Raw genomic sequence first — 26353 nt, 5'->3', positions numbered from 1 at the left:
ACAGGGAGACTGGAGCTGCACTGTTTCTATGGCAACAGAGAGCAAGCACGAGCATTCTTCTAGTTGGAATGATGATTATTTAGGCTCTCACCAACAGTATCAGTGACTCATCAGGTGGATTGTGTTGCAAAGTGTGGATTAGTAAAGGGTTTCTCTTCAAATCCTGGCAAGAACGAAGCCCACAATAGAGATCCTGACTCTTCAAGCTGGAGCCTGGACTCCTTTATTAGGAATGAAGGGTCTCTCCTTGGCTACTGGCCAATTAATTACCTCCTTAATATCAGCAATTCTTATTTATGATCTGCAATCTCCACGAGTAGCCTGCTTGGACAAAACCCATTTATGGAAATCCAATTCATAAGGTACATAAATTAAGTAGTAGAGAAGTGCTTACGCAATTTTCTCTTTTCCCTCAATTTTAATTTTATCAAAGAAACACACTTGCATCATTAAAAAGTCAATTAGTGCTTAAAAGCTTATAACAAGAAACATCAATCCCCACACATATAACACCCCTCCCTCTCCCTGGTTCCTAGAGGCAACCACTTTCAGGAACTTTCATTTTATATCTTCTATTTACCTCCATATTTTCAAATATCTCCACATTGCCTAAAATTTCCTATTAAAGTGGGTAGATAAAGCTCTTCACAACTTGCCTCTCTTAAACTCAACCTCCTAATATGATTATGCACCATTTAGTCATGCACCACTAAATGACAGGGATACTTTCTGAGAAATGAGTTGTTAGGTGATTTTGTCCCTGTGCAAACATCACAGAGGGCACTTACATAAACCCAAATAGTAGAACCTACCACACACCTAGGCTGTATGGTGTGGCCTATGGCTCTGAGGCTACAAACATGTATAGTATGTGACTATACTGAATACTGTGTATAGGCAATTGTAACACAATGGTGTTTGTGTATCTAAACATAACTAACCATAGAAAAGCTACAGTAAAAATATTGTATAAAAGATTAAAAATGGTACAGCTTGGTAGAGTATGTAGTATGAATGGAGCTTACAGGACTGGAAGTTGCTCTGGATGAGTCCGGGAGCTAGTAGTGAGTGAATGGGAAGGTCTAGAACATTACTGTACAATACTGTAGACTTCATAAACACTGTACACTTGGGCTACACTAAATTTATAAAAACTATTTCTCTTTCTTCAACAACAAATTAACCTTGACTTGACTATAACTTTTATACTTTATAAACGTTTAAACCATTTAAAACTTTTTGAGTCTTGCAATAACACTTAGCTCAAGACATAAACACATCATACAGCTGTACAAAAAATTTTTTTCTTTATATCCTTATTCTATAACGTTTTTCCTATTTAAATATTTTTTAACTTTTTGTTAAAAACTAAGACACAGACACACATGCTAGCCTAGGCCTTCACAGGGTCAGAATCATCAAGACGTCACTAGGCTATAGGAATTTTTCAGCTCCAATATAACCTTACGGGACCACTGTCATGTATGCATGTGGCCCATTGTTGAGCAAGATGTCATTATGTGACACATGACTGTGTATCGCAACTTTTGAATAAATCCTATTTATGGATTATGATGTTTTCATCATTAAGGACATGGAAATATTGGCTCACTGCTGAACTAATTAGGGAAACTCAGTAACATGATTTTACACAGGCTGGGGCTAGAGGCTTCCCCATTCAAGATACAGACCTGCACCCAGTCCTCTGGGTCTGGTTTGGTACATGGCCCTCCTCTGCACTTGGCGTCCGCATATCCGGAGGCTCTCTGTTCAGTTTCTCTGAATAATTCCCTCCAGCTTCTTGACAATTAGATCGGAAGACTCTGGCCCTTACCCAGACCCACATCCCTCCCTTGCTTGCAGCCTGCATTTCTGGCTCACCCTCAGCCATTGCTGGGGCCGTGGGTTCCTGAGCCTTTAATTGGGCAGTTGGTTTGACCTTTCCTGCCACTGCCCTCTTGTACAAGCGGGTTCTGAGTTACAGATATCTTCTGGTGTTGTCCAAAATGGACTTGTGGTTCTGGTTCTCATGCTCTTGTTGTTGGGGGTGACTTCCATAGAAGATGGCAGAAACTTCTTTGTCTTCATAAACCAGGGAAGTTTTCTTGAAGAAGTTGGCTGCCTGGAAGGTAATTTCCACTGGAGTGAGTTTTGCAATGGAACTAAATTATATAAAAATACCTCCATAATTTTTAAATTACAGTAACTTACTTTAAATGTGTGACTATATAAACCTGTCCAGAGAATGATTTGGTTTTGAAAAAAGTGGATGAAATGTGGGTTTTTTTTTTAAAAAAAAACCTTTTTGTTCTAGTATGTTATAAATCAAAGCTAGGCAATTTCACCTTTTGACTGAGGAAGATCACTTTTGAGACTCTATTCTAAGAAAAATAATTCAAGACAAGCACTAAATGAAATTGATCATTGCTCTGTTAAATATGATTGTGAAAATGGAAATGATCTAAATATCTAATGAGAAGAAAACTGATACGTGAATACAATGGAATGGTCTATTCAACATGGAAAATATGCCATTGTACTAAGTGAAAGAAGCTGAATGCAAAGTGGACTTTATGCTCTGGTTACAAGTGTGTAAAACAGCCATTTAATCTTTGTGTTGCAAATTCTCCATCTGTAAAATGGGATAGTAAATTAATTACCTTATAGAGTTATCATGAGAATTAAAGGAAAGAATGCCCCTAAAGTTTTCAGCTTGTGCCTGACACACAGTAAACGTACAATAAATGCTAGCTACTATTACTACTGCGATTACACAGTGCAATGGTACGTCTGTAAAGGTTGTGGGCTTATGTGTGTTCCAGTCTCATTTTTCTTGTTCTAGTATTACTTGTTCAGTAAATAAAAATCAAGACACACACAAAAAACCTCCATAATAATAAAGAAACATATATATTATAATGGCATGTTTGCAAGCATTTACATTCCCTGGCTCACTTGTTGGTTTAGAGCAATGGCTCTCAACATGGAGCCCCAGGACCAGCAGCAACAGTGTCACCTTCAAAGTTGTTAGAAATGCAGATTCTCAGGCCCTACCCAAACCTCTGGATCAGAGACTCTGGGGTGGGATCCAGCAATCTGTATTTTAACATGCCCTCCAGGGAATTCTGTTTAGCCTGGGCTGCACTTTGGAATCATTTTAGGAGCTTAAAAAATAATAATGCCTGGCCCCACTCAGATCAATTAAATCAGACTCATCATGCATAGGGCTCAGGAATTGGTTTTTGTTTTTATTTTATTTTATTTTATTTTATTTTATTTTATTTTTATTTTATTTTATTTTTCTTGAGATGGGGGTCTTGCTCTGTCACCCAGGCTGCAGTGCAGTGATGCAATCTCAGCTCACTGTGGCCTCGACCTCCTGAGCACAAGGGATCCTCCCACCTCAGCCTCCTGAGTAGCTGGGACTGTAGATATGTTCCACTATATCTGCTAATTTTCATATTTTTTTGCAGAGACAGGGTTTCACCATGGTGCCCAGGCTGGTCTCAAACCCCTGGGCTCAAGTGATCCACCACCTTAGCCTCCCAAAGTACTGGGATTACAAGTGTGAGCCACCATGCCAGGCCCAGGCATTGGTAATTTTAAAAAGCTACCAGGTGATTCTAATGCACAGCCAAAACTGAGAACCATTGATATAGAGAGAGATCGCTATACAGAGAGGCCAAGTCAGATGGGAGGGGCAGACAGCCTTACACACAACCTTTTAACCCTGTTCCACCATCCTTGGCTTCTGCAGGACTCTCTTGTTCCTATTCTTAATTGATACCAAGTCCAGAAGAGAAGAAGGGTAAGTAAGGCTCTTCCAAGCCTCCCAGACATGTGTTGATAGATCTTAAAGATCAAGTAGACATAAAAATGAGGGAGGTCTGATGTGGTAATATGAGCCTGTAGAACACGGTTCTCTCTACATTTGAGAAAACTACTTTTTTCTCAAAAAAGGTCTTGGTGCATTGGTCTGGGTGCAAAGCTCTGGGTGCATTGGCCCCAAGGAAAACATGGTATTTTCTCAGCAGCCAGACCAGAGACAATCCCCAATTCCCTCCATTTTCTGCTCATGACTCCCTCTCCCTTTGAGATTTGAGCTGTGTCCCATCAAAGAGTTTAAGGAATACCCTACAGGAGTAAGTTTTAGTTCTTGGCAAATTTTGTGCTTTCATCTTGGAGATTTGCCGACAAATTTCTATCAAGAAATGACAAAGAAATAAACACCCCTGGTTTTATTTTCCCTTCACTCCAATTTTCTCACTTGTTTGCTTTTATCCTGTTGAATCTTACATATTTGTATAATCCTCCTCAAATCCTGTTTTAGAATTCAGTGGGGTAAAATAAATAAGAAGCTATAAAAGCCAATCAGTCATATTCTACATTTGCTTTTTTTACAGAATCCTTCATTTATTCAATCAGTAAGCATTTATTCAGTTCATTTTAAGACATTTCTATTGAGAACTTCTAGGTGCACTGGGAAAGCTACAAAAGAAATCAAGCTATAATGCCTTTCCTTTCTTTAAGCAATTTATTTACCATTGTTGGTAGATAAGAGAGAAACACCTGAAACAAACAAAGAACAGTATATGATAAATTACTGAGCTAAATACTATCAACTGTGACAGGAAACTGAGGTCTATAGAGTGCTTACTACAAATCAGGCAGTGGGCTAGATGTTTTCCATACATGGTCCCTCATGTTTTAGGTACGACCCTATAAGGTGGTAATTAGGGCAAGCCAGCTTCACCGGCCAGAGCCTGAGAGCTTTGGATTGTGCCTGGGCAATTTACTTAACCTCTCTGTGTCTCAAGAGTAAAATGAGGATAATAACTTCCTATCTCAACGAGCAGCCCTGAGTCGCAAGTTCACGTAAAGCACATAGCACAGTGTTCAGTTTGTCTCAATTACTTAACATGCTTTGGTGCCTGGCACATACAGGCTATTCATCATTGTCAGATGGCATTTTAATTCCACTTTAAAGATGAGAAAACTGAGGTTGAAAGAGAATGTTATGCTTTCACAGAACAGCTACACTCCAAAACCTGTGTGCCTTCTCTTCTTTGTTTCTAAAATCAAGTGCCAAAATATTCAGCAGAGGTCCCAAGTGATTCACTATTTTTTTTGCATTATACAAACACTTTACAAACCCAAGGTTGAGCTCCACAAGGTCAGTTTGATTTGTCTCTTGATGTTTAATAAAGAGATATGTTGTAAGAAATAAGTTCCTCCCAGGCTAACAACCCTACCCAAGGCTCACACATGGCATGAAATCTAAGCCTCTGCAGGTCTCTTCACTGGGCCTTTGATGTTTTTCTCCTCTGGCTCAAGGCAAGCTCTCTTCCTGCCTTTGTGCCTTTTTCTCACTGAAACCTACCTGCCTCTCTCCTCTTCCTTCCATTCCTCCTCTTCCCCATCCCATACCCTCCCACATTCCAAGGCCCAACCCAAGCTCTCCTGTGGCTCCATCTCCTCCCTGCTTTCTCCTTTCTGCCTTCTCAGAGCCCATGCAGCCATGCTCAGTGCTTGGAACAAGAACCAGCCTTTGCTCACTGTGCACAGCACCCACTGGTATTATCTATTGAATCCTCAAAACCACCTTGATAATTGTGGTTTTAGCATCCTTACTTTACAGCTGAAGAAACTTAGGCTCAAAGGGGTTAAGAAATGTATTAGAGGTCCCTCATCTTTTATAGAAACTGGAAGAGCTGACTATAAACCTAGTTCTCTAGCCTCATGCTGCAATCCATGCTGTTCATGCCTGGTAAACTTGGCCCTCCCACTAGACTACAAGTTCCTTGAATTCGGTGAGCACAGGAATGGGACTGTGTATAGAACTAAGCATTTAACAACTAACAGAGCAATCCTCAGACAGAACTCTATGCCCTGGTAGAACTTTCCTTCCTATCACAGACCCAGATTGTGCAATTGAAGGAACCCCATTGGGCAGTAGACTGACACAGTAGGTGTTGCAAAGACATTCATGATAAAGAGCACAGACCTCAGTAGACCTCAGTGCCCCTCTTCAAATCAGACTTTCTGAGTAACTTGTCCCCTTTTCATTTGTTTCTATGCAAAATCCGAGGTCTTGTGGAGGTTTATCTTGTTCAATACTTGAATGGCATGACTTCTGGACTTCTAGACTTTCATCTATTATTTATGCATTTAAAAATACCTATTGAGCACCTACTATGTATATGGTCACTGTGCTAGGTGCTGCAACGTGAGGAAAAAAAGAGATGCAGTCCCCACTGTCATGAAATACAGCCATATAATCAAAGAATCCCACAATTCTACCACGAGAAGTACTGTGATCGAGAGATACATAATGCCGAGAGCATTTACGAGAGGATGTGGCCTGTCCAGGAGGTAAGAGAAAGCCTGCCTTGAGGAAGTGATCATTGAGCAGAGACCTGAATGAAAGTAAACACTATCTTAGAAAAGGAAATGGTGGGCTGCACACCACAGCTCACACCTGTAATCTCAACACTTCAGGAGGCTGAGGTGGGAGGCTTGTTTGAGCCTAGGGGCTTGAGACTAGCTTGGGCAACATGGGGAGGCTCTGTCTCTACAAAAAGTAAGAATAATTAACCAGGCACGATGGCACACGCCTGTGGTTCCGGCTACTTGAGAGGCTGAAGTAGGAGGGTTGCATGGGCTCAGGAGGTGGAGGCTGCGGTGAGCTGTGATTGAGCCATTGCACTCTAGCCTGGGTGACAGAGTGAGGTCCTGTCTAAAAAAAAAAAAAGGAAGTTGTGGAGAGAGCAGAGCAAAAGCCTTTTCATGAGGCCACAGAAACAGACACAGGCGAAGGGAAAGTGATGGGAGGTGCAGCCAGAGAGGCAGGAGGGGTCACACTGTGAATGGCCTTGTGGACATGTGAAAGATTTGGGTTCTTATTTTAAAATCAATTGGAAAACCCTCAAGGATTTTAGGCAGAGGGTAACATCATAAGATGTAAGTTTCAGAAAGCTTACATCATGGGAAACAGATGGGAGCCATGAACAAAGTAGACCAGGAGACTCAGCCAGAAAGGTGATGTGGGCCAGGGTGCTGATGGGAAGGCTCAAACAAGTGGGCCAATGAGACACACTCAAGAGATACAGTTGCCGCGATTTGTGATGGACTGGATGGAAGAGGATGGGAGAAAGACATGTCAGGGGAGATACCTCAGTGTGTCATTTGCAGCTTGGTGGATGAGGCTTCCATTCACAGAGATGGGAATATCCTGAAAGATGATGGCTTCTGAGGGAAACTCTTAAGTTCAGCTTTTATCAGGCTGAGTTTGAGGAAACTTTGATATATCCTTAAAGAATGTCAGGAAGGCAGCTAGGTGTATGGGTTTGGGATTCAAAAGACAGGCTTAGGCTTTTCTAACTTGAGGCTTATGAGGCATCTGCCTTTAGGGGGTAATTAAAGGAATGCTAATAGGAACTAGGACTAAGACTTGAGCTTCCTTAATTTTTTTTTTTTTTTTTTGAGATGGAGTTTCGCTCTTGTTACTCAGGCCAGAGTGCAATGGCACAATCTCTGGCTCACCGCAACCTCCGTCTCCCGGGTTCAAGCGATTCTCCTGCCTCAGCCTCCCTAATAGCTGGGATTACAGGCATGTGCCACCACACCTGGCTAATTCTGTATTTTTAGTAGAGACGGGGTTTCTCCATGTTGGTCAGGGTGGCCTCGAATTCCCACCCTCAGGTGATACGCCCGCCTCATCCTCCCAAAGTGCTGGGATTACAGGCATGAGCCACTGTGCCCGGCCAGAGCTTCCTCAATATTTAATGGCAAAGATGAACCTGTAAAAAGACAGACATCATGGTCAGAGAGGTAAGAGGAAAGTCAGGACAGGACAGGGAGTGCTTTAAGCAGGATTTACAACATGGGGGTCATCTGGGCCCTAAGCTGAGCTTTGCAAGATAGTAATGCTAATAAAGCAATAGAAACATAATCTGTTGTCATCAGTGAATTTCATGGACATAAATGCCAAAAACCTCACATTGCAGCCCCCACCAAACACTCAAAACCTTGGTCTTGTTATGTGAGTTCAAGTCAAGCTGTTTGAAAAAAAAAAGCTGGTCACTCATCCAACCTATTCTAGCATTCCAATTCGGCAGAAGAAAAAAGACAAAGGAATCTGAATTTGTTGATAATCTTTGATCTATGGGTCAAGATAAGAAAGAGAAATTATCTGCAGCTAAAATCAAATCTCTCTCTCATCCAAAGGTAGTGAATCCCCAGGTGGGTGCAATGTGCACCTAATGAAGAGTCCATCTGTTACAAGAATTGTGGCAAAGCTCTGAGAGCATCACAGCAGCCTATGACAAGACCACTTTGTCCTTTCAAGCATGTTATAAAGACTTGGGAAAGGCTTCGTTTTGCCCCTGACATTAAAGCACCATTAAAGGATTTTGAATACACACTCAAAGCCAGGCAATTCTGAGGATGGCAGGAGTCATGAACTCATCCTATTACTCTTAGTGAGACAGAAAACATTTAAAAAAAAAGAAGAACAAAGGTCTGTTTCAAGAACAGAAAAGCCCCGGAATGAAAGAGGAGGATTGTTACTGCATGTGGAATCTCAGCTTAAAATAGCACACAGTGTGCCTGACATCCTGTGAAGTAGCAATAGCTATGAGAGCATCTGTGCTCAAACACATTGTCACATGGATGTGAGGCTTGAGCCCTTTCTTCCAAAACTCTGGGTGCAGGCAATTACCACCATGCTGGGGTGGGCAGGGGCCTCTCTGTCAGCCACGTTTCCTCTCTGGTATGTGCTGGGGATCTGTAATTCACACCAAATTCACACAATGATTGGACCTAAGCATGCCTCTCACCTTTGGATAGCTAGTAGGTTCAACACCCATTGGAGAGGAAGAAGACAGAGGTTCTATGGTGGTGGTAGGGAGGGATAGGGAGGGACAGGTCTGTTGTTTCTCCATCATGAAGAATGATGCAATGGCTGCCACTTACTAAAGGTCTACTGTGGGCCATAGACTGTACAAAACTCTTTATATAGGTAATCTCAAATCCTCACAAGAACTCTGAAAATTAGGAATTATTACCTTCATTTTACAGATAAGGAAACTGAGTCTGGGAGAGATTGTGAGTGCCCACAGTCACCCAACCGATAGCTAACCCAGCCAGGTGTGTCTGGCCCCGAAGTCCATCCTTCTTGGACCTTACCTGGGGTTCATACTTGGTTGTGGATGCAGAGTGTGAGATAGGGAGGAGGTGTTAGAAACTCAGTGGAAGAGGCCCGACATGGTGGCTCACACCTGAAATCCCAGCACTTTGGGAGGCTGAGGTGGGTGGATCACGAGGTCAAGAGATCGAGACCATCCTGGCCAACATGGTAAAGCCCCATCTCTACTAAAAATACAAAAATTAGGCCGGACGTGGTGGCTCATGCCTGTTAATTCCAGCACTTTGGGAGGCCAAGGTGAGTGGATCATCTGGGGTCAGGAGTTCAAGACCATCCTGGCCAACATGGCGAAACACTGTCTCTACTAAAAATACAAAAATTAGCTGGGTGTGGTGGCACGTGCCTGTAATCCCAGCTACTCAGGAGGCTGAGGCAGGAGAATCGTTGGAACCCGGAAGGCGGAGGTTGTAGTGAGCCGAGATCATGCCACTGCACTCCAGCTTGGTGACAGAGCGAGACTCTGTCTCCAAAAAAAAACCAAAAACAAAAACAAAAACAAAAAAACTCAGTGGAGGGGACATGCAGCGTCCATTGTCCCTTTCAGGAGACTGCCCCTCCCCCACGGGGTTAAATCATGCTGGGATGGAAATCTGGGCACCTGCTCTCCCGCTGGGGAAGCTATCAGAGTCCCCAGAAGCTCCTTCTGCCAGATCTTTCCTCTGCTCCCCGCAGACAGGAGTTTGGCTCCTGACCTAAGCTCAGCCAGCCAGGGTCTCTTTCCTGGGATACTGACCCCTGAGCAGAGAAACAAGGACAAAATAAATCATTGAGTTCATTCATTCCCACAGCAGAACCCACAAGAGAGTGCTGAGCACTTCTGCCTTTTCCAGGCTCCATTCCTCAACCACTCCCCATCCAGTGAATTCTCTACTGCTTGTGACCAGTTTCTCTTGCTTACAGTTGTTGAACCCTAACTAAAATAACCCAGTATATAAAAGAGTTCTGATACTTAATAAAACAAGGAGAAGGAAATTGGGAAAACATTTCAAAGACCATATAATGGGAGTAGGGGCCTAGAGGCCTTGGTGGAATCCACTGATGGCTGTGACCAACAGAACAGGGCAGACGGGACAATCGACTGGTTCTGGGAATTGCCCTTAGCTGACCTGGAATCTTCCAGTTTTTCCTTTTTGGAACACTTTTTGAGGAGATACCGCACTTAGGAACCCAACCACCAAGCTATGAAAACTGAAGAGGCCATGGAAGGGTGGCCCAGCCAGTAGCCCCCACTGAGCCCAGCTGCCAGCCAGCACCCACTGCCAGACTTGGAAGTGAGCCACCTTAGATGGCCGGACCAGCCGAGCCTTCATCTGGCTGTGACCATGTGAGTCCCTAAGCAAGAATCTCCAGGTCTACATGCAGAAGTGTGAGCCATAATAATAAATTGTTATTTTAAGATACTAAGTTTTGAAGTGGTTTGTTACACAGTCATAGATAACCAGAACAGACGGCCTCGAATGAGGACTGCTGGATAGAAGGAAAGGTGCGCTTACAATTTCATAGATATTGTCAAATTCTCCTCCTTGAAGGCTATACCAATTCACATATCCACCAAGGGTAGATGATCAGTAAAGATGGGATTTTTTAAAGCCAAGCTCCTTATATTTTTCATAGCTATAAGAAATCAAGGGCACTCATATATCACCTACTTGCACTCATGATTTCAAAACTCTTGTCAAAGAAAAAGAATAGAAAAAAAGGTATTTGAAAAGAAGGGCAGGCTATTCAGAATTCTTTTTAACACCTTACAATATATCTTTGGCCTGTCACTCAATTTACTGGGCAACCTGGTGATAAATCATGCTAACATTTGTGATAAAGGTAACTAAGCAGTGGCTTCTAATTAAATTTCATTTGTACAACAAATATTTTCTGAGACACAACTCTATGCAAAGCACGGAGGGACCATGGAGAAGACTGTGGCACGAATGGAGCAGAGTTTACAGTGTGTCATAAATAAGTCAAGCCTGCTCCCTCTTTTCTGCAAAATGGGAGCAGCCAGCATTGCCTCCGCACCTTGATCCTGATGCTGGGCCAGCACCTTGATCCTTGCTCTTACTGCATGTGGGTTTCTTTATTCACCAGCCTTTGTCTGTCTGAGAGGACTGACTGCCTCCAGTCCTGCTCGCTTTGGTTCCTAGCTCCCTAATAACATGACTTTACATAAAGTAGGTATTTTCGCATTATTTGTTTTGGTTTTGCTTTTTTAGGGACAAGGTCTTACTCTGTCACCCAGGCTGGAGTGCAATGGCACAATCACGGCTCACTTCAGCCTTGAATTCCTGGACTCAAGCGATCCCCCCACCTCAACCTCCTGAGTAGTTGGGACTACAGGTATATACCATCACACCTGGCTAGTTTTTTTTTTTTTTTTTTTTTTTTTTTTTTTTTAGAAATGGGATCACACTATGTTCCTTACCATTTTAACAAGCTGGTCTCGAACTCCTGGCTTCAAGCAAGCCTCCCACCTCAACCTTCAAAGCGCTGTGATTACAGATGTGAGCCACTGCGCCCAACTGGGAAGTGGGGTTTTTACCCCTTCCTTCTTTACATCTGAAGAGACTTCCAGTATGGTCTCATTATCATTTTGTGTGTGTGTGTGTTTGTGTGTGTGTGTGTGTGTGTATGTGTGTGTGTGTGAGATTTCCAGATGCTGAGACTTCTAGATCTCCGGAAATTAAAGTAGTTGGGAAAAGAAAGAGGGCGAAGTCAGGGAGAGAAGAAGGTGAGTGAGTAAAAGAGAGATGCCTCCTGTATCAGAGAGTGGACAGTTCTTTCACTCCAGGCCAGGGACAGTGAAGGAGAGAAGTCCTTTTTGCACATAATAGTAAGAATCTGGACTACAACAAAGATTCTCTCCTTGAACAAACACTGATCAGGCTCCTCTGAGCTCTCTTTTCAACCAGCCCTCAACCCCAAGGTCTTGTCTTGTACCTGCCCCACCCATTCTTAGCAAAGAGTCCTGCTAAGTCGTCCCCCTACTGATCACGCTTGACATCTGATCAAGTTCTTCATCCCTCACCCTTGGTGTCTAAATCCTTGGCCTGTCTTTAGCAAGAATCCTATCAGGCCAGTGTTAGAGATCAAATGCTTGTGTCCTCTTGCCCCAAGTTACATGTGTCAGCCCTCACCCCCAGTGTGATGATATTTGGAGAAGGGCCTTTTGGGAGGTAATTAAGGTTAGATTAGGTCGTGAGGATATAGCCCTCGTGATGTAATTAACGGCCTTAAAAAAGAAAAAGAACTGACAAGAGATCTCTCTCTCTCTCTCTCTCTCTCTCTCTCACTCTCTCTCTCTCTCTCTCTCACTCTCTCTCTCTTCATATGGACAAGAAAGGCCATATGAGGACACAGCAAGACAGCCACAAGCCAGGAGAGAAGCCCTTACCAGAACCTGCCCTTGCTGGCTTCCTGATGTCAGACTTCCAGCCTCTGGAACTGTGAGAAAATCAATGTCTGTTGTTTCAGCCATCCAGTCTATGGCATTTGTTATGGCAGTCCAAGCTAAGACAGTCAGTTTAGCAAGAAGTTCCTTGCCTTTGATGTCCCTCCTCAGTAATTTTCTATCCCCTGACCCCCTCACCCTACTGCTTGGCTGTAAATCCCCACTTATCCTTGCTGTATTTGGAGCTGAGCTCAATCTCTCTCTCCTATTACGATACTTCTATTGCAACAATCTTAAATAAAGTCTTCCTTACCATTTTAACAAGCTTCTGAATATATTTTTCTTTAGCAAGCAAACATGCAGGGTCTCTTTGTCTCTTTGTACCTGGCAAAGTTTCATCCATCCTTAAGTTCCAACGTTACCTTGTTTTCCATCTTTCCTTGAGGACCCTGGCCTCCCCTAACAGCAGGAAAGGCTCTCATTTAGCACCTGTCTCACTGCATTGTGGTTGGGGTTTTTACATGGCTGTCTCCTCTGTGGCGAACCCCTGGAGGCCGGACTGTGTCTGTCTTTGTGTCTGTCTTTGTGTCTCCAGCACCCAGTCCGGACCTCGCATGAGGAGAAGCTCACTTCAGCCTGTTTAACTGCACTGCCTCCCTGTAGAGTCAAGTCCTGTGCTCAAAGTGCAGGCAGACCTTTCTGGGCTGGGGAAGTCAGTGAGGGCTTCATGGTGGATGGGAAGGGCTCAACAAAGCAAAGAACAGGAAGGAGAGCACCACTGGCTTGGGAGCAGCATAGTAAACAAATGGAGGACTGTGGCACAGTCATCACGTGGGGAAGTGGTTCATCAGGCATCATCCAGCGTCCAGAAGCAACTCAAGATTGGAGCAATTATTGTATATAAATTATAACTCAATTAAAAATTAGGCTTCTTATAAATTTATCTCCTGCAATGCAAGACATAGGAAACTTGGCAGGTTGTCAAGACAGACAGGACCAAGGACCTGGAATGTTAGCAAGATCCTGGGCGGATGGCCTCTTACCTCTTGCTCTCTCCAAGCTCAACTTCTCTCAGACCAGCTGCATTTGTTCCACACACACACATAGTCCAGCCTGGATATCCCCAACTCACCCCCACAGCCCTGCAGTTCATAATACCTTCCAGCCTAACTGCACAGTGGATCTGCAGCATCTCACAGAGACACTAGTTAGTAGCAGAGTTAGGCTGGAAGGTATTATGGTCCCATCAGCTATGTTATGGGAAGGGGGATGCCTAAGAGGCTGTGAGGATCTACTTCCATGGTGGTGGAGAGAAGGAGGCCTAGGCTGACACATCCATGGATGCGTCAACAACAGGGCATGCTGTGGAACTTGTGATTGGGACCCTGTATTGAATCAGGACTGCAAATTTGAGTGCCAACTGGGCTAGACAGGTAATTTAAATTAGTGAAGAGCATAACAAACTGGCAAGTTCATCCTCTGCCCCAAAGGGGAGCACCTGGACCAGAATAGAGGGTTTGCATAAAAAGAATTTAAAAATAAGAGGAAAATTGTGTCCAGAATTGGTTCCTTCCAGTGGGTTCTTGGTCTCGCTGACTTCAAGAATGATGCCACAGACCCTTGCGGTGAGTGTTACAGTTAAAGATTGTATGTCTGGAGTTTGTTCCTTCAAATGTTCAGATGTGTCCAGAGTTTCTTCCTTCCGGTGGGTTCGTGGTCTCGCTTACTTCAGGAGTGAAGCTGCAGACCTTTGCAGTGAGTGTTAAAGCTCTTAAAGGTGGCGGGTCCAGAGTTGTTTGTTCCTCCCTGTGGGTTGGTGGTGTCGCTGGCTTCAGGAGTGAAGCTGCAGACCTTCGCAGTGAGTATTACAGCTCATAAAAGCAGTGCAGACCCAAAGAGTGAGCAGCAGAAAGATTCATTGTGAAGAGCAAAAGTACAAACATTCCACACCTTGGAAGTGGACCAAAGTGGGTTGCCGCTTTGGCTCAGGTGGCCAGCTTTTATTGCATGATTCGGCCCCACCCACATCCTGGTGATTGGTCCATTTTACAGAGCAGTGATTAGTCCGTTTTTACAGAGTGCTGATTGGTGCGTTTACAAACCTTTAGCTAGATGCAGAGCATTGATTGGTGCGTTTTTACAGAGTGCTGATTGGTGCATTTACAAACCTTTAGCTAGACACAGAGCGCTGATTGGTGCGTTTTTACAGAGTGCTGATTGGTGCATTTACAAACCTTTAGCTAGACACAGAGCACTGATTGGTGTGTTTACAATCCTTTAGCTAGACAGAAAAGTTCTCCAAGTCCCCACCTGACCCGGAAGCCCAGCTGGCTTCACCTCTCAAAATTATGTCCTTTGCAGCAACATGGATGGAGTTAGAGGTCATTATACTAAGCAAATTCATGCAGGAACAGAAAACCAAACACTGCATGTTCTCACTTGTAAGTGGGGACTAAACAATGAGCAAAGAGGGGAACAATAGACACTGGGACCGACTTGAGGGTGGAGGGTGGAGGAGGGTGAGGGTCGAAAAACGACTTTTCAGGTACTATGCTCATTACTTGGATGATGAAATAATCTACACCCCAAACCCCCCCAGGACACACAATTTACCCATGTAACAAACCTGCATGTGTACCCCCGAACCTAAAAGAAGAGTTTGCAAAAAAAATGAAATTAAATAAAAACTAAAAATAAAATTAATTTGATTACAAAAAAAAAAAAGAATTGGACCAACTGAAAGCCCCGCAGGGTCATGCACAGTATCTTTTAGGCAAGAAAGAGCCTATGCTCTAGAAATACTTTAATACTGGGCTCCACGTTCCTCGGGGGGGAGGGTATCCTGTACCCCTCTTAGAAATGCCTTTCCAAGCATGAGGACCACAGAGAGCAAGCACAAAGCAATCCAGGGCTCAGCTGCAGAATGGCACTCCATGCACAGAAATGCAGTTATAAGCACTGTAATAGCCTGCCTCCTCTCATTACAGAGACTACCCTTCCTCACACCCCAGAGGTGCAGAGGCCTTCACATCTCCTGACAGCATTGGCAGGTGCACGTTGAGATTTCCGGGCCTCCAGATGGGGCTGCACCAACCGGCCCTAATTGCCATTTTGAGAAGCGGAGCAGACCTGTCTCATCTGGAAGGGCCCATGCTGGAAGCGGGAGCGTCTGCGTGTGCCCCAGCTGTCTCTCCTGGTGATCAAGCATTACAACAGCACCCAGGAGAGGGCAGGAAGGTGCCGGGGTGAGCTGGCAAGGGCGAGTGTTCAGCAGTGAAGCTCAATCAGATTGCCTTTGTGTAGGTTATGCTCCAAACAGATCCTCTCTGGAGTTGGCTCTGGCAAGAAGCCAACGAGTGAAGGGCTGTAGGGAGCTCAGGGCCCAGTTTGCACTTCATCTCTGAGTCTTCAGCACGCCTACTTCATTCTTTTTCCACCCAACAGAGCAGCCAGCCCTACTTTCCTATCTACAAGGTAGCAGGACGGACCACCAGTTCCCGGTTCACGTGGCCTCTCTTCCATCTCTTAGCTCCGTCTGTCTCTAACAGGAAGTGACTAATCAACCCAGCTGGCATTGGCCACCATGGACTGGCAACCAACTGGCCTGTGGGGCATGGCCGCACCACACGAACATGGCCCTTCTCACTGCACAGAAGAAGTTGGGGGCGGGGAGCGGCAGTTCTCAGAGAAGAGGTAATTGTGCAGTGACTGGGAGACAACCACCAGGCTGTCCTGCACGCCTCCCTGGTGTGGGTACTGAGTACATGAAATCCTACTCTCTAATGTCATCGGTGACTCCTTCGTGCTCTGTGCTCCCCAAAGTTAGTCATCACAAACTGTCTTATTTATTTATTTATTTGTTGAAATGGAGTCTCACTCCGTTGCCCAGGCTGGAGTGCAGTGGCGCGATCTCGGCTCACTGCAACCTCCGCCTCCTGGGTTCAAGCAATTCTCCTGCCTCAGCCTCCCGAGTAGCTGGGATTACAGGTGCGTGCCACCACGCCTGGCTACTTTTTTTGTGTTTTTAGTAGAGATGGAGTTTCACCATGCTAGCCAGGCTGGTCTCAAACTCCTGACCTCAAATGATCCACCCGCCTTGGCCTCCCAAAGTGCTGGGATTACAGATGTGAGCCACCATGCCCAGCCCCACAAACCATCGTGACAATTCTTGCCATCTATGAGTATCCTCTCCAGTTATCTACATAACTTTAAAAAATCAACACACATGTTTTATTTAAGTAAAATTTGGCCTTGGCCTAAGCAATAATAGTCATAAAGTATTTTTTTCTAGCCAAGATTATAATAAGGGCATGACATTAAACGAAAAGAGTTTGTCCATGATTTCCTAAAATGATTTCACATCCCCCAGTGATGTGAGTTCTGCACTTTGGGACCATTGCCCCCAGGAGGCCTCAGTAAAGAGGATATCAAAGGACAGTGGTCCTTGGAGCCAGACAGGACTCAGTTACAATTTCCTTTCTGGGCTATTCAATCTTTGGCAAGTCACAAAACTCTGTAAGCCTCAGTTTTTGCATCTGTAAAGTGGGAATGAACAACGCTTACTTCAAAGGAGTGTTATGAGGATTAAATGGAATGGAGTTTGCAAACTGCTGAGCACAGTATAAAGGTTGCAGTGACTCGAAACCATGAATGCTTTCAAGGGTATGTAGAGTCTTTGAAGGATCGCCATTGCTACCCACACATCTCAGAAATCATCTTGTATTCTTCAATGTGAACCAGGCTTCTGGGTGAAATCCCACCCCACCCCCCTCAAAAAAAAGCCCAGGTATGGCAGCCCAGTGTGGTGGTTAAAGTGTTGGGAGTTGGCAGAGCCAAGTTTAAGTACTAGTTCTTCCATTTACTCGCTGGGTGACCTTGGGAAAGTGGCTCAACTTCTCTGTGCTTCTGCTCCTTCATCTGTAAGAATAATGACAATAATGCCTACTTCCAAGAGGTTGTTGTAAGGATGAATGGAGGGGAGCTGGCTGTCCATGGCCTTTCATCTGCCTTTGTTCTAGGCCAGCAGAGTCATGACAGCAGTCACCTGCCATTAGTCACCGTGACTGTGATACTTGTTCATACCTTGACAAGAGCTATTTCAGGGATGTGATGAGCTGAGCCAGCTGCTGGAGAGGGACTCCATGGGAAAATGGGCTCGGCCGTCAGCTTCATGAGCTCTGACAGTAATGTGTCTAGCAATGAAAACAGTCATCATTTTCCACAGCAAGAAGGGAGGGGGAAAAAGTATCTCCCAAACCTTTGTAAATGAGAAATAATTCATGCATGAAGAAAGTCATTCTAGAGAGATATTATTAAAATTCTGCCCTTTCCCGCTATTAGAAGAACAAAATAGGTAGAAGGAACTGGGGGAGGAGAATGGGGATTCTGCAGCTTCAAAACAAATAGGAAACGGCTTCTCTTTAAATGTTGACCCTAAGTCCTATCTCACTCAGGAGCAGACAGGAAGGAAAAGAGGAGGGGGAAGGAGTCACTGGGGAGCGGATGGGGAGCTGGATGGGGGCCCCTTTAACGAACTTGTGATTGGGACCCTGCATTGAATCAGGACTGCAAATTTAAGCGCCAAATGGGCTAGGCAGGTAATTTAAATGAGTGAAGAGCGTAACAAACTGGCGAGTTCATGCTCTGCCCAAAAGTGGGCAGCTACTGCTCAGTGCAGACAATGCCTCATGTTAGAACACCAGCCCCAAATTGCCAGATCCTCCAGTCTTTCCAGAAAAGGCAAACATCTGGATTTTTCTTTTCAGTTTCTTTTGAGTGCACAATTTAAATATTTTTTTTTCTTTTTTAGACAGGGTCTTGGTATATCACCCAGGCTGGAGTGCAGTGGTACAATCATAGCTCACTGCAGCCTCAACCTCCTGGGCTCAAGTGATCCTCCTATGTCAGCCTCGTGAGTAGCTGGGACTACAGACATGTGCCACCATACCTGGATAATAATAATAATTTTTTTTTTTTTGGAGATGGACCCTCACTCTGAGGCCCAGGCTGGAGTGCAGTGGCGTGATCTCGGCTCACTGCAACCTCCGCCTCCTGGGATCAAATGATTCTTCTGCCTCAGCCTCCCAAGTATCTGGGACTACAGGCACGCGTTACCACACCTGGCTAATTTTTGTATTTTTAGTAGAGGCGGGGTTTCACCATATTGGCCAGGCCGGTCTCAAACTCCTGACTTCGTGATCGGCCCCCCAAAGTGCTGGGATTATAGGTGTGAGCCACTGTGCCTGGCTGTAAATAATTTTTGAACACTAAGCCAGCCAAACAACCAAACAACCACCCATACACCTGTGGGCCCCATTTGATCCAGCAAACCAGTTTCCATCTCTGCTTTAACCTTTCTGTCTTTGGCCCACTGTCCCCTCACTGAGATGTCCAGGCTGTCCTGCTGGTACGGAGTCACAGCGCATGTCCCTGTCTTGGGGCCGACACACAAAATACTGAAGGACACCTGCCCCTGTGTCGTTAAAGGAGGGAAAATTTACATCCACACCTGCCTACCAACCCTCTGGAACATTTTTTCCCTTAAAACCACTCAATTTTTTGAGGAGGAACATTTTTCAGCCTCAGACGTGTTTTCAGCCAGAATGTTCTCTTCGACACCAGCATAATCTGCTGTGACATAGCCTGTTTGGTTGACAAACGATGACACAGGGACTTGACAATTGGGACAGATTCCCACCGCAGGCTCAGCCCACTGCTCCTAGAAGGGTCCTCCTGGGATCCCGCGTGGGGAGCACTGGCCGCCTCTCCCACCCCTGGCTGGTTGCCTGACGCACAGCTCTCCCCAAGACGAAACCTTCAGCTTTCGATTGTAAATCCAAGAGCTGTGTTTTTTTTCTTGAGTCATTTACACATGCAATCCTGAGATGGCGGCAGCCTCCCCGGAGGGTGATGTGTTTTGATGTTTGTATTTAGGGCTCGCATTAGAAGGCTTCTGGAGACACAAGCCTTGATATGAAAATCCCTTCTGAGTAGATGACACATGGTACACAAACTGCTGGCTGGCTCAGCTATTTTTTTAATTGATAAAAATTGTATATATTTATGGTCTACAACACGATGTTTATATATATACACACACATACACATACTGTGGAAAGGCTAAATAAAGCTAATAACATATGTATTACCTCACATACTTCTTTCTGTGGTGAGAACACTTAAATCTACTCTCTTGGTAATTCTGAAGTATGTAACACATTACCATTAACTGTGATCACCATGTTGTATGAACGATCTCCTGCACTTATTCCTCCTATCTAACTGAGATTTCAGCTCACCTTTTATGACTGAGTGGAAACTCAGGCATCTTATAGAATATAAATTATTCTTATCATTTTCATTTTAGAGATGCAAGTCTCACTATGTTGCTTAGGCTGGTCTCGAACTCTTGACCTCAAACAATCCTCCCACTTGAGTCTCCCAAGTAGCTGGGATTAGAGACATGAGACACCGCACCTGGCTTGTTATAGAATATAAACTATTTCGGGGCCAAAATTGCCTCAGTAACTTAGCTGTAAAATGGGGATAATAGTATGTATTCTTGGGTCCTTACTGGGATTAACTGAGAAAAGGTGCGTATCACATGTAGTTTTACAGGAGGAGATCAAACACTGGTTTCATTCTGGCTTTTCGTTGTTGTTGTTTGTTTGTTTTTGTTTTTGTTTTTTGAGATAGAGTCTCACTCTGTTACCCAGGCTTGAGTGCAGTGGCACAATCTCAGCTCATTGCAACCTCCACCTCCCAGGGTCAAGCGATTATCCTGCCTTAGTCTCCCGAGTAGCTGGGATTACAGTTGTGTGCCACCACGCCTGGCTAATTTTTGTATTTTTTAGTAGAGATGGGGTTTTACCATGTTGACCAGAGGCTGGTCTCGAACTCCTAACCTCAGGTGACCCTCCTGCCTAGGCCTTCCAAAGTGCTGGGATTACAGATGTGAGCCACCACGGCCAGCCCTGTTTCTTATCTAGAAAATTTTAGCCCCAAATCAAGAGATCATTGGGGAGATAAGAATTATATTGATTTAAACATTTTAAACTTTATTACCAGATTTTACAAAAACCTTTTCCTACCATCAGAAAATCTTGGATTTCTCTAACACCTGTCCTCACTAGGTCCCAAAGTGTCCGTGTTGTTATTTCACTCACTTCATGTAGCAAAGACTAACGACTGAGCATCTGCCCTTGAACGTGTGGTTTATCTCGTGGTTTTGCTTACCTGGGAAGGAGATAACTTATGCTCTGTCTAATGCATGGGGCTGGTGTAGAGAGAAGAGAGTGGTAACCTATGTGGGAGCCCCTTGAAGAACAGGAAAACCAATACGAAAACCCAAGATATCAGTCTGCTTGGCTCGCCCGGCGCATTCGAGAGTGCCTGGGAGCCGGTGTGACTTGGGCCATGCTCCTCAGAAGGGGAAGCAATGAAGCCCTACAAGCCTGCTCAGTAAGGAAGCAGACAGGGCACTGAGGGGTGGGAGCACTGGCTCTAGCATGACACAGGCTGACAGAGTGAGCACTTTCACTCCCCTATCCCTTCACCCACCCTCAGCCCCTCTCTTTCACCAACGTCCCCACCCCGTCTCTCATAGACACTGTTGGCTTCCCCTTCAAAATGGACCCTGCCTTGACCATCCTCCCCCTCACTAGTCCAAGCTACCACCATGATCACAACAGCCTCCTCCCTGGCCCTGCTTTCCCCTTGCCCCGCTGCAGTTCACCCTCCACAAAACAACCAGAGTTATTTTTCACAGCCTATGTCAGCCCGGGGCACCCTCTCACTCCACAAGCCCCCAGTGGCCTCCATCTCCCTGGGGGTAACAGCCAAGTCCTACCATGGACCTGAAGGACCTGCCCATGCTGACCCCTGACCCCCGGCTCCCACCCCATGCCCACTCATCCCAGCCACACAGGCCACCCAAGAACTTCACATTCAGCCCTCAGCAGCCCTACGGGGAGGGGACTCCTCATCTCACAGGCAGGAAACATGGCTTGGAGAAGTCACTTGTATGAAGCCACACAATGAGGAGGTGATGGAGTCAGGATTTGAATCCAAGCATCCCTGCACACACTGATCATATTTACTTTTATCTTGCTATCTATATTTTAATAAGCCACTTCAAATCCACTTTGGAGTAGGTGAGGAAAAGAGGAAGAAAGACAGGGGGAAGGCACAGTTTTGGGCTCAGGACCAGCTACATCTCTAGACCAAGATTCACTGGAGGCCAAACTATTAAGTTGGTAAAAATCAGTCTAAATATTGTAGGCTGGGTTTGTCTGATGCTGCAGGAATTTGCAGACACAAAGGAAGAAGGCATATTTCTACCAGCAGAGAAATCCCGCCTAACCAGGCTAGCATTCGAGTTAACGGCACAGAAAATTTAGTTGAACCATCAGAAAATTGTTCTAATGTCCAGAGTTTCTGCTATTGTGCTGCTATTAACATGATGCTAATGAAATGTAATAAAATGTGGCTTGAAAAGGAAACCCATCTAATCTGAAACTTCAATTAATATGATTAAGATATAGCTTTTACACAATCAACTTGCATCTGATGCACATTCTGTGCTTTATGGATTATTACAGCAGAGCTAATGCAGTCAAATGAAGTTAAGTTGTGCCCAATTAACATTTGCAGCCAGCTCTATAGCCCAGAGCTCTGCTGAGGAAGATGGAGCGGAAGGGCCTGGGACCTGACTCCGTCCCTGAGGGGCACATCATCTCTGCTCTGCGTTCCACGGAACAGAGCAGCACCCAGCCTCCCCCGTCCTCTGCTTCTCTCCACTCCACAGCACCCAGCAACGTGGGTCAGGTGGGGAAGGGGCCATGACAATGGTCTTGTCCAAGAAAATGCAGTGTTCCAGGACTGAAAGAGGAGTGTCCACTCTGCTTTGAATAAAAGGGGCTGAAAGTCAGTTGGCAGACACTGTCTTCTTTTCCTTTCTTCCCTCAATATTCTATCATCAAATTCAACAGCTCTTGCTGAGCATCTACTATGTGCACGTCACCAGGGAAGAGGGAAAGAGATACAAAGAGAAAAAAAGACAGCTCTCAGGAAACACCGGGAGGCTTCAAGAGCACAGATGAGGCCGTGTGTGGTGGCTCATGTCTGTAATCTCAACACTCTGGGAGGCCAAGGCAGGAGGATCACTCAAGACCAGGAGTTTGAGGCCACCCTGAGTAACACAACAAGACCCCTACCTCTACAAAAAATAAAATAAATTAGCCAGTGTGGTGACATGTGCCTGTAGTCCCAGCTACTTCGGAGACTGAGGCAGGAGGATCTCCTGAGCCCAGGAGTCAGAGCTTGCAGTGAGCTAGGATAGTGCCACTGTACTCCAACCTGGGTGACAGAGTGACACCCTGTTTCTGAAGAAAAAGAAGAAGAAGAAAGGAAGAAGAAGAAGAGGAGGAGGAGGAGAAGAGGAAGAAGAAGAAGAAGAAAGAAGAAGAAGAAGAAGAGGAAGAAGAAGAAGAAGAGGAAGAAGAAGAAGAGAAGAAGAAGAAGAAGAAGAAGAAGAAGAAGAAGAAGAAGAAGAAGAAGAAGAAGAAGAAGAAGAAGAAGAAGAAGAAGAAGAAACAAACAAACAAAAGGGCCACCGTGCAAAAATCTAATGTTGGTCTTCTGCCCTCAGAACAAAGCCCCTTCTCCCTGTCTCCAAATTGCAGCAGAGTTCAGCTGGGCATGGGCAAGGTAGCTGATCGCAGAAGCAGAGTGGGAAGGCTAGTCTTCTCTTCCTTCAGTGGTGCAGAAATCCAGAAGACTGTAATGGATTCTGCTCCAGGCTCAGTCCTCATGGTGTGAGTTGACCTCATCCCACCCTCTCCATTTCACAGGCATGGCCAAAAGGGTAGTTTATACCTCTGACCATGGCAACTGGCTCAGGGATGTGCACACAATCAGGTTGGACCAATAAGAATCAGGCCTAGGACTTGCTCTGGGAACTACTGGAAAAGAGGTGCTCTCTTTTCCCTCTGATTGTTCAGCTGGAGGGGGTTGGCCTGGAGCTGGTGGGGGTGTTTTCCATCATGACGGATCCTGCTGAGAAAGAAGCCGACAAAGGAAAGCCAGACCAAGCCTGGGGAAAAAGAGAGTTCTGAAGACACTATCTGAGCACCTGGATCCAATTGTGCCTGAAGGTGGTCCACCCCTCAGTTGCCTGCTGGCTAGGCTTATGAATTCTCCCTTTGAAAGCTGGTTGTAAGCCAGCTCATTGCAGTTCTGGCTGATACCAAGGTAGATGCCACAAGTACCAGAATTTTCAAGGCCCTGGAGCTGCTGGAGGGGCTTCCGCAGACTCCAGGGATGTTGCAGAACGGAGCTGAGGCCTCTCGTGGCCAGTTTTCTGTTCTGGTCAGCGGGAACTAAGCAGAGGATGCAAACTCACACAGCCCACCCTCCTCCTCACTCCCCCTCCCCCTACTCCTTCCTCTTCTGCAACTCTGTCCCACGGAAATTTCCCAACAACCTTCAAAACCATTGCAGGGATCTTTCTCCAGTTAACCCACACTCTCTGTTTCCATTTGTGCCTAGCCTCCACGCCAAGTCACATTTTCAGGAAGCTCATAGCCTGTGAGGCCCAAAGCAACACTAGCTGCTCTCCTTGGCTGACTTTTGTCCCAGCTCATGGCCTCATGTTCAGGAGACATCTCAGGGTAAGAATGAGGCAAACACGATTCTACTCTACATATCAGAGGTGTTACCATCAGAGTTAGTAGAGGTAGTGCCTGAGGACCTTACCTGAGAGGCTGCATTCTAGGTTTCTAGCCCCTACGACTGCTTTTGATTTCACTTCCAAACCCACATTGATAGTTCTCAAAGCTGAGTTGAGCAGGAAGACACAGAAATGAAGAAGGAGGAGAGGTGATCAAGATTTTTAATATTGGGTAGGCCTGGAAACAAAGCCCAATCCTGTCTTACAAAAGAATGGCCTTTGTCAGTTACCTAACTTCCCCCTGCGTTAGTTTCCAGCTTGGCAAAATGGTAATACTTTCTCTATAGATTCATTGGGGGACTCCATGAGCTAAGGTTGTGTATTGCTTATCTCAGGGTCTGACACATCCTAAGCTTTCTGTAAACCAGTTTGCATATTCCAGGCACCAAGCTAGGAGTGTTGGCATGCTCTCATGCTTTCTCATTTAATAATCACAAAATCCCTGTGAGGTAGATATTATTATTCTTACAGGCAAAGGCTATGTCAATCAGACTCTTGGTTGCAAAAAAAAAAAAAAGGCAGAAATATTTGGTCTCTTAGGAAAAAAGGGAATGTAATGAAAGGATATTGGAGGTTCAAAGAATCACCAGGAGGTCAGAGAAACAGGCTTGGGTGGGTCAGGCCACAGGACCTCTCTGGCCTATGCTTCCTTCCTCCACCGGCAGGGAGCCAACTGCCAGATGGTCTCCCACCTTTTCCCAGTCATCAAGGTCATACAAGACAGAAGCTGATGGACTGAACTTACAGCACATTTCTGTCTCCTGGCTGGGATGGAGGATGGAGGATGGAGGGAAAGTGGAGGAAGGATTTGAGAGCCTCTGCTTCCATGGTAAGAGATGGACATAAGCACTGTCCTTCTTCAAAGTGTACAGTGAGGTGTTTCCTGAATAGATATCAGAGTGATAATAGGATAAAGGGCATTTGATTCAAGACAGCCTAGAAGTCTAGAGGATCACTCGAAGGAATTAAACTTGGGAATGTTTAGTGACTTGCTCATTTAACAACAGCTCCGATTCACACACACCCATACACATTTGTAACAGTCAAGGACAACTTGAAGTCTTGATTTCTGATCATCTTTTTTCCCACCCTTCTAGGACAAACTCATGCAAAGTGAGGGGAGCTGTGGTGAAAAGAGGTGCCAAAAGGGAAGTGAATAGGGTGCCCAGGTAAGCCTCACAGTTGTGCAGAGGGAGACCTGAGGCTGGTCAAATTGGCACGGCTGAGAGGAGATAGGGAGGCTATCTGGGATGGGAGCAGAGGGCATCTTCTCCAAACTGAGGAGGAGAAAGGAGAGAAATGCTGGGGGTGAAATGGGCATGTAGTGAGAAGCAAAGCACTCCTGGGGTTCCAGGTCTGGACAGGGAGTACATAGACATGCGTTCAGGGGCTAGAACGTTTGGACAGGCTGCCCTCAGGTGCTGAGTCAGTGCAGCCTGCAGCAGCAGCTCCTCCAAACACAGGAGCTCATAAATCACAGCTGACAAAGCAGGGGCTCTCCGCTGTGTACACCTTTTGTTTCAGGTGCAAATGGTCACTGGAATATGCATGTGGACTTTGTGTGGTTAAGAAACTACATACGCACAGTGGAGTAGTTACTGGGCCAGAGAGCTGAAGTTAACAAAGGAAGAGATCATTTCTGCCCCAACCCCTTTGGGCAACAGCACAGTTTCCCAAACTTAAACTATTACAATACAAATTGTATTATTATTTCATAAAATTGTCCTTTTATTCAGATTCACTTTTTAATCCAAATAAATATATATTTTTTAAATTTTAGATTCAGGAGTCCATGTGCAGATGTGTTTCATGGGTGTATGGTATAATGCTAAGGCTTGGGCATTTATTGAACCCATCCCCCAAATAGAGAACACAGTACCCAATGGATAGTGTTTCAGCCCTTGTCCCACTTCCTCTCTCCCACCTTTTGGAATTCCCAATGTCTATTGTCATCTTTATGTCCAAATGTATTCAATGTTTAGCTCCCACTTATTAGTGAGAACATCCATTATTTGATTTTCTGTTTCCACATTAA

General features: G+C 45.1%; 1 long non-coding RNA gene across 1 annotated transcript; it reads left to right on the top strand.

Moving 5' to 3' along the window:
* The first annotated feature begins 205 nt into the window (after positions 1 to 205).
* LOC105371237 (uncharacterized) lies at positions 206 to 12603 on the top strand. Its single transcript, XR_933513.2, has 4 exons — positions 206 to 362; positions 3758 to 3808; positions 6217 to 6372; positions 12539 to 12603. It is a non-coding gene; the product is annotated as an uncharacterized LOC105371237 (long non-coding RNA).
* Positions 12604 to 26353: the final 13750 nt, after the last annotated feature.

This window comes from Homo sapiens, chromosome 16 (assembly GCF_000001405.40).
Source record: "Homo sapiens chromosome 16, GRCh38.p14 Primary Assembly".
Classification (NCBI taxonomy): Eukaryota; Metazoa; Chordata; class Mammalia; order Primates; family Hominidae; genus Homo; species Homo sapiens.
Note: the sequence above shows the minus strand (reverse complement) of the source record. Positions and strands in the feature narration are given on the sequence as shown.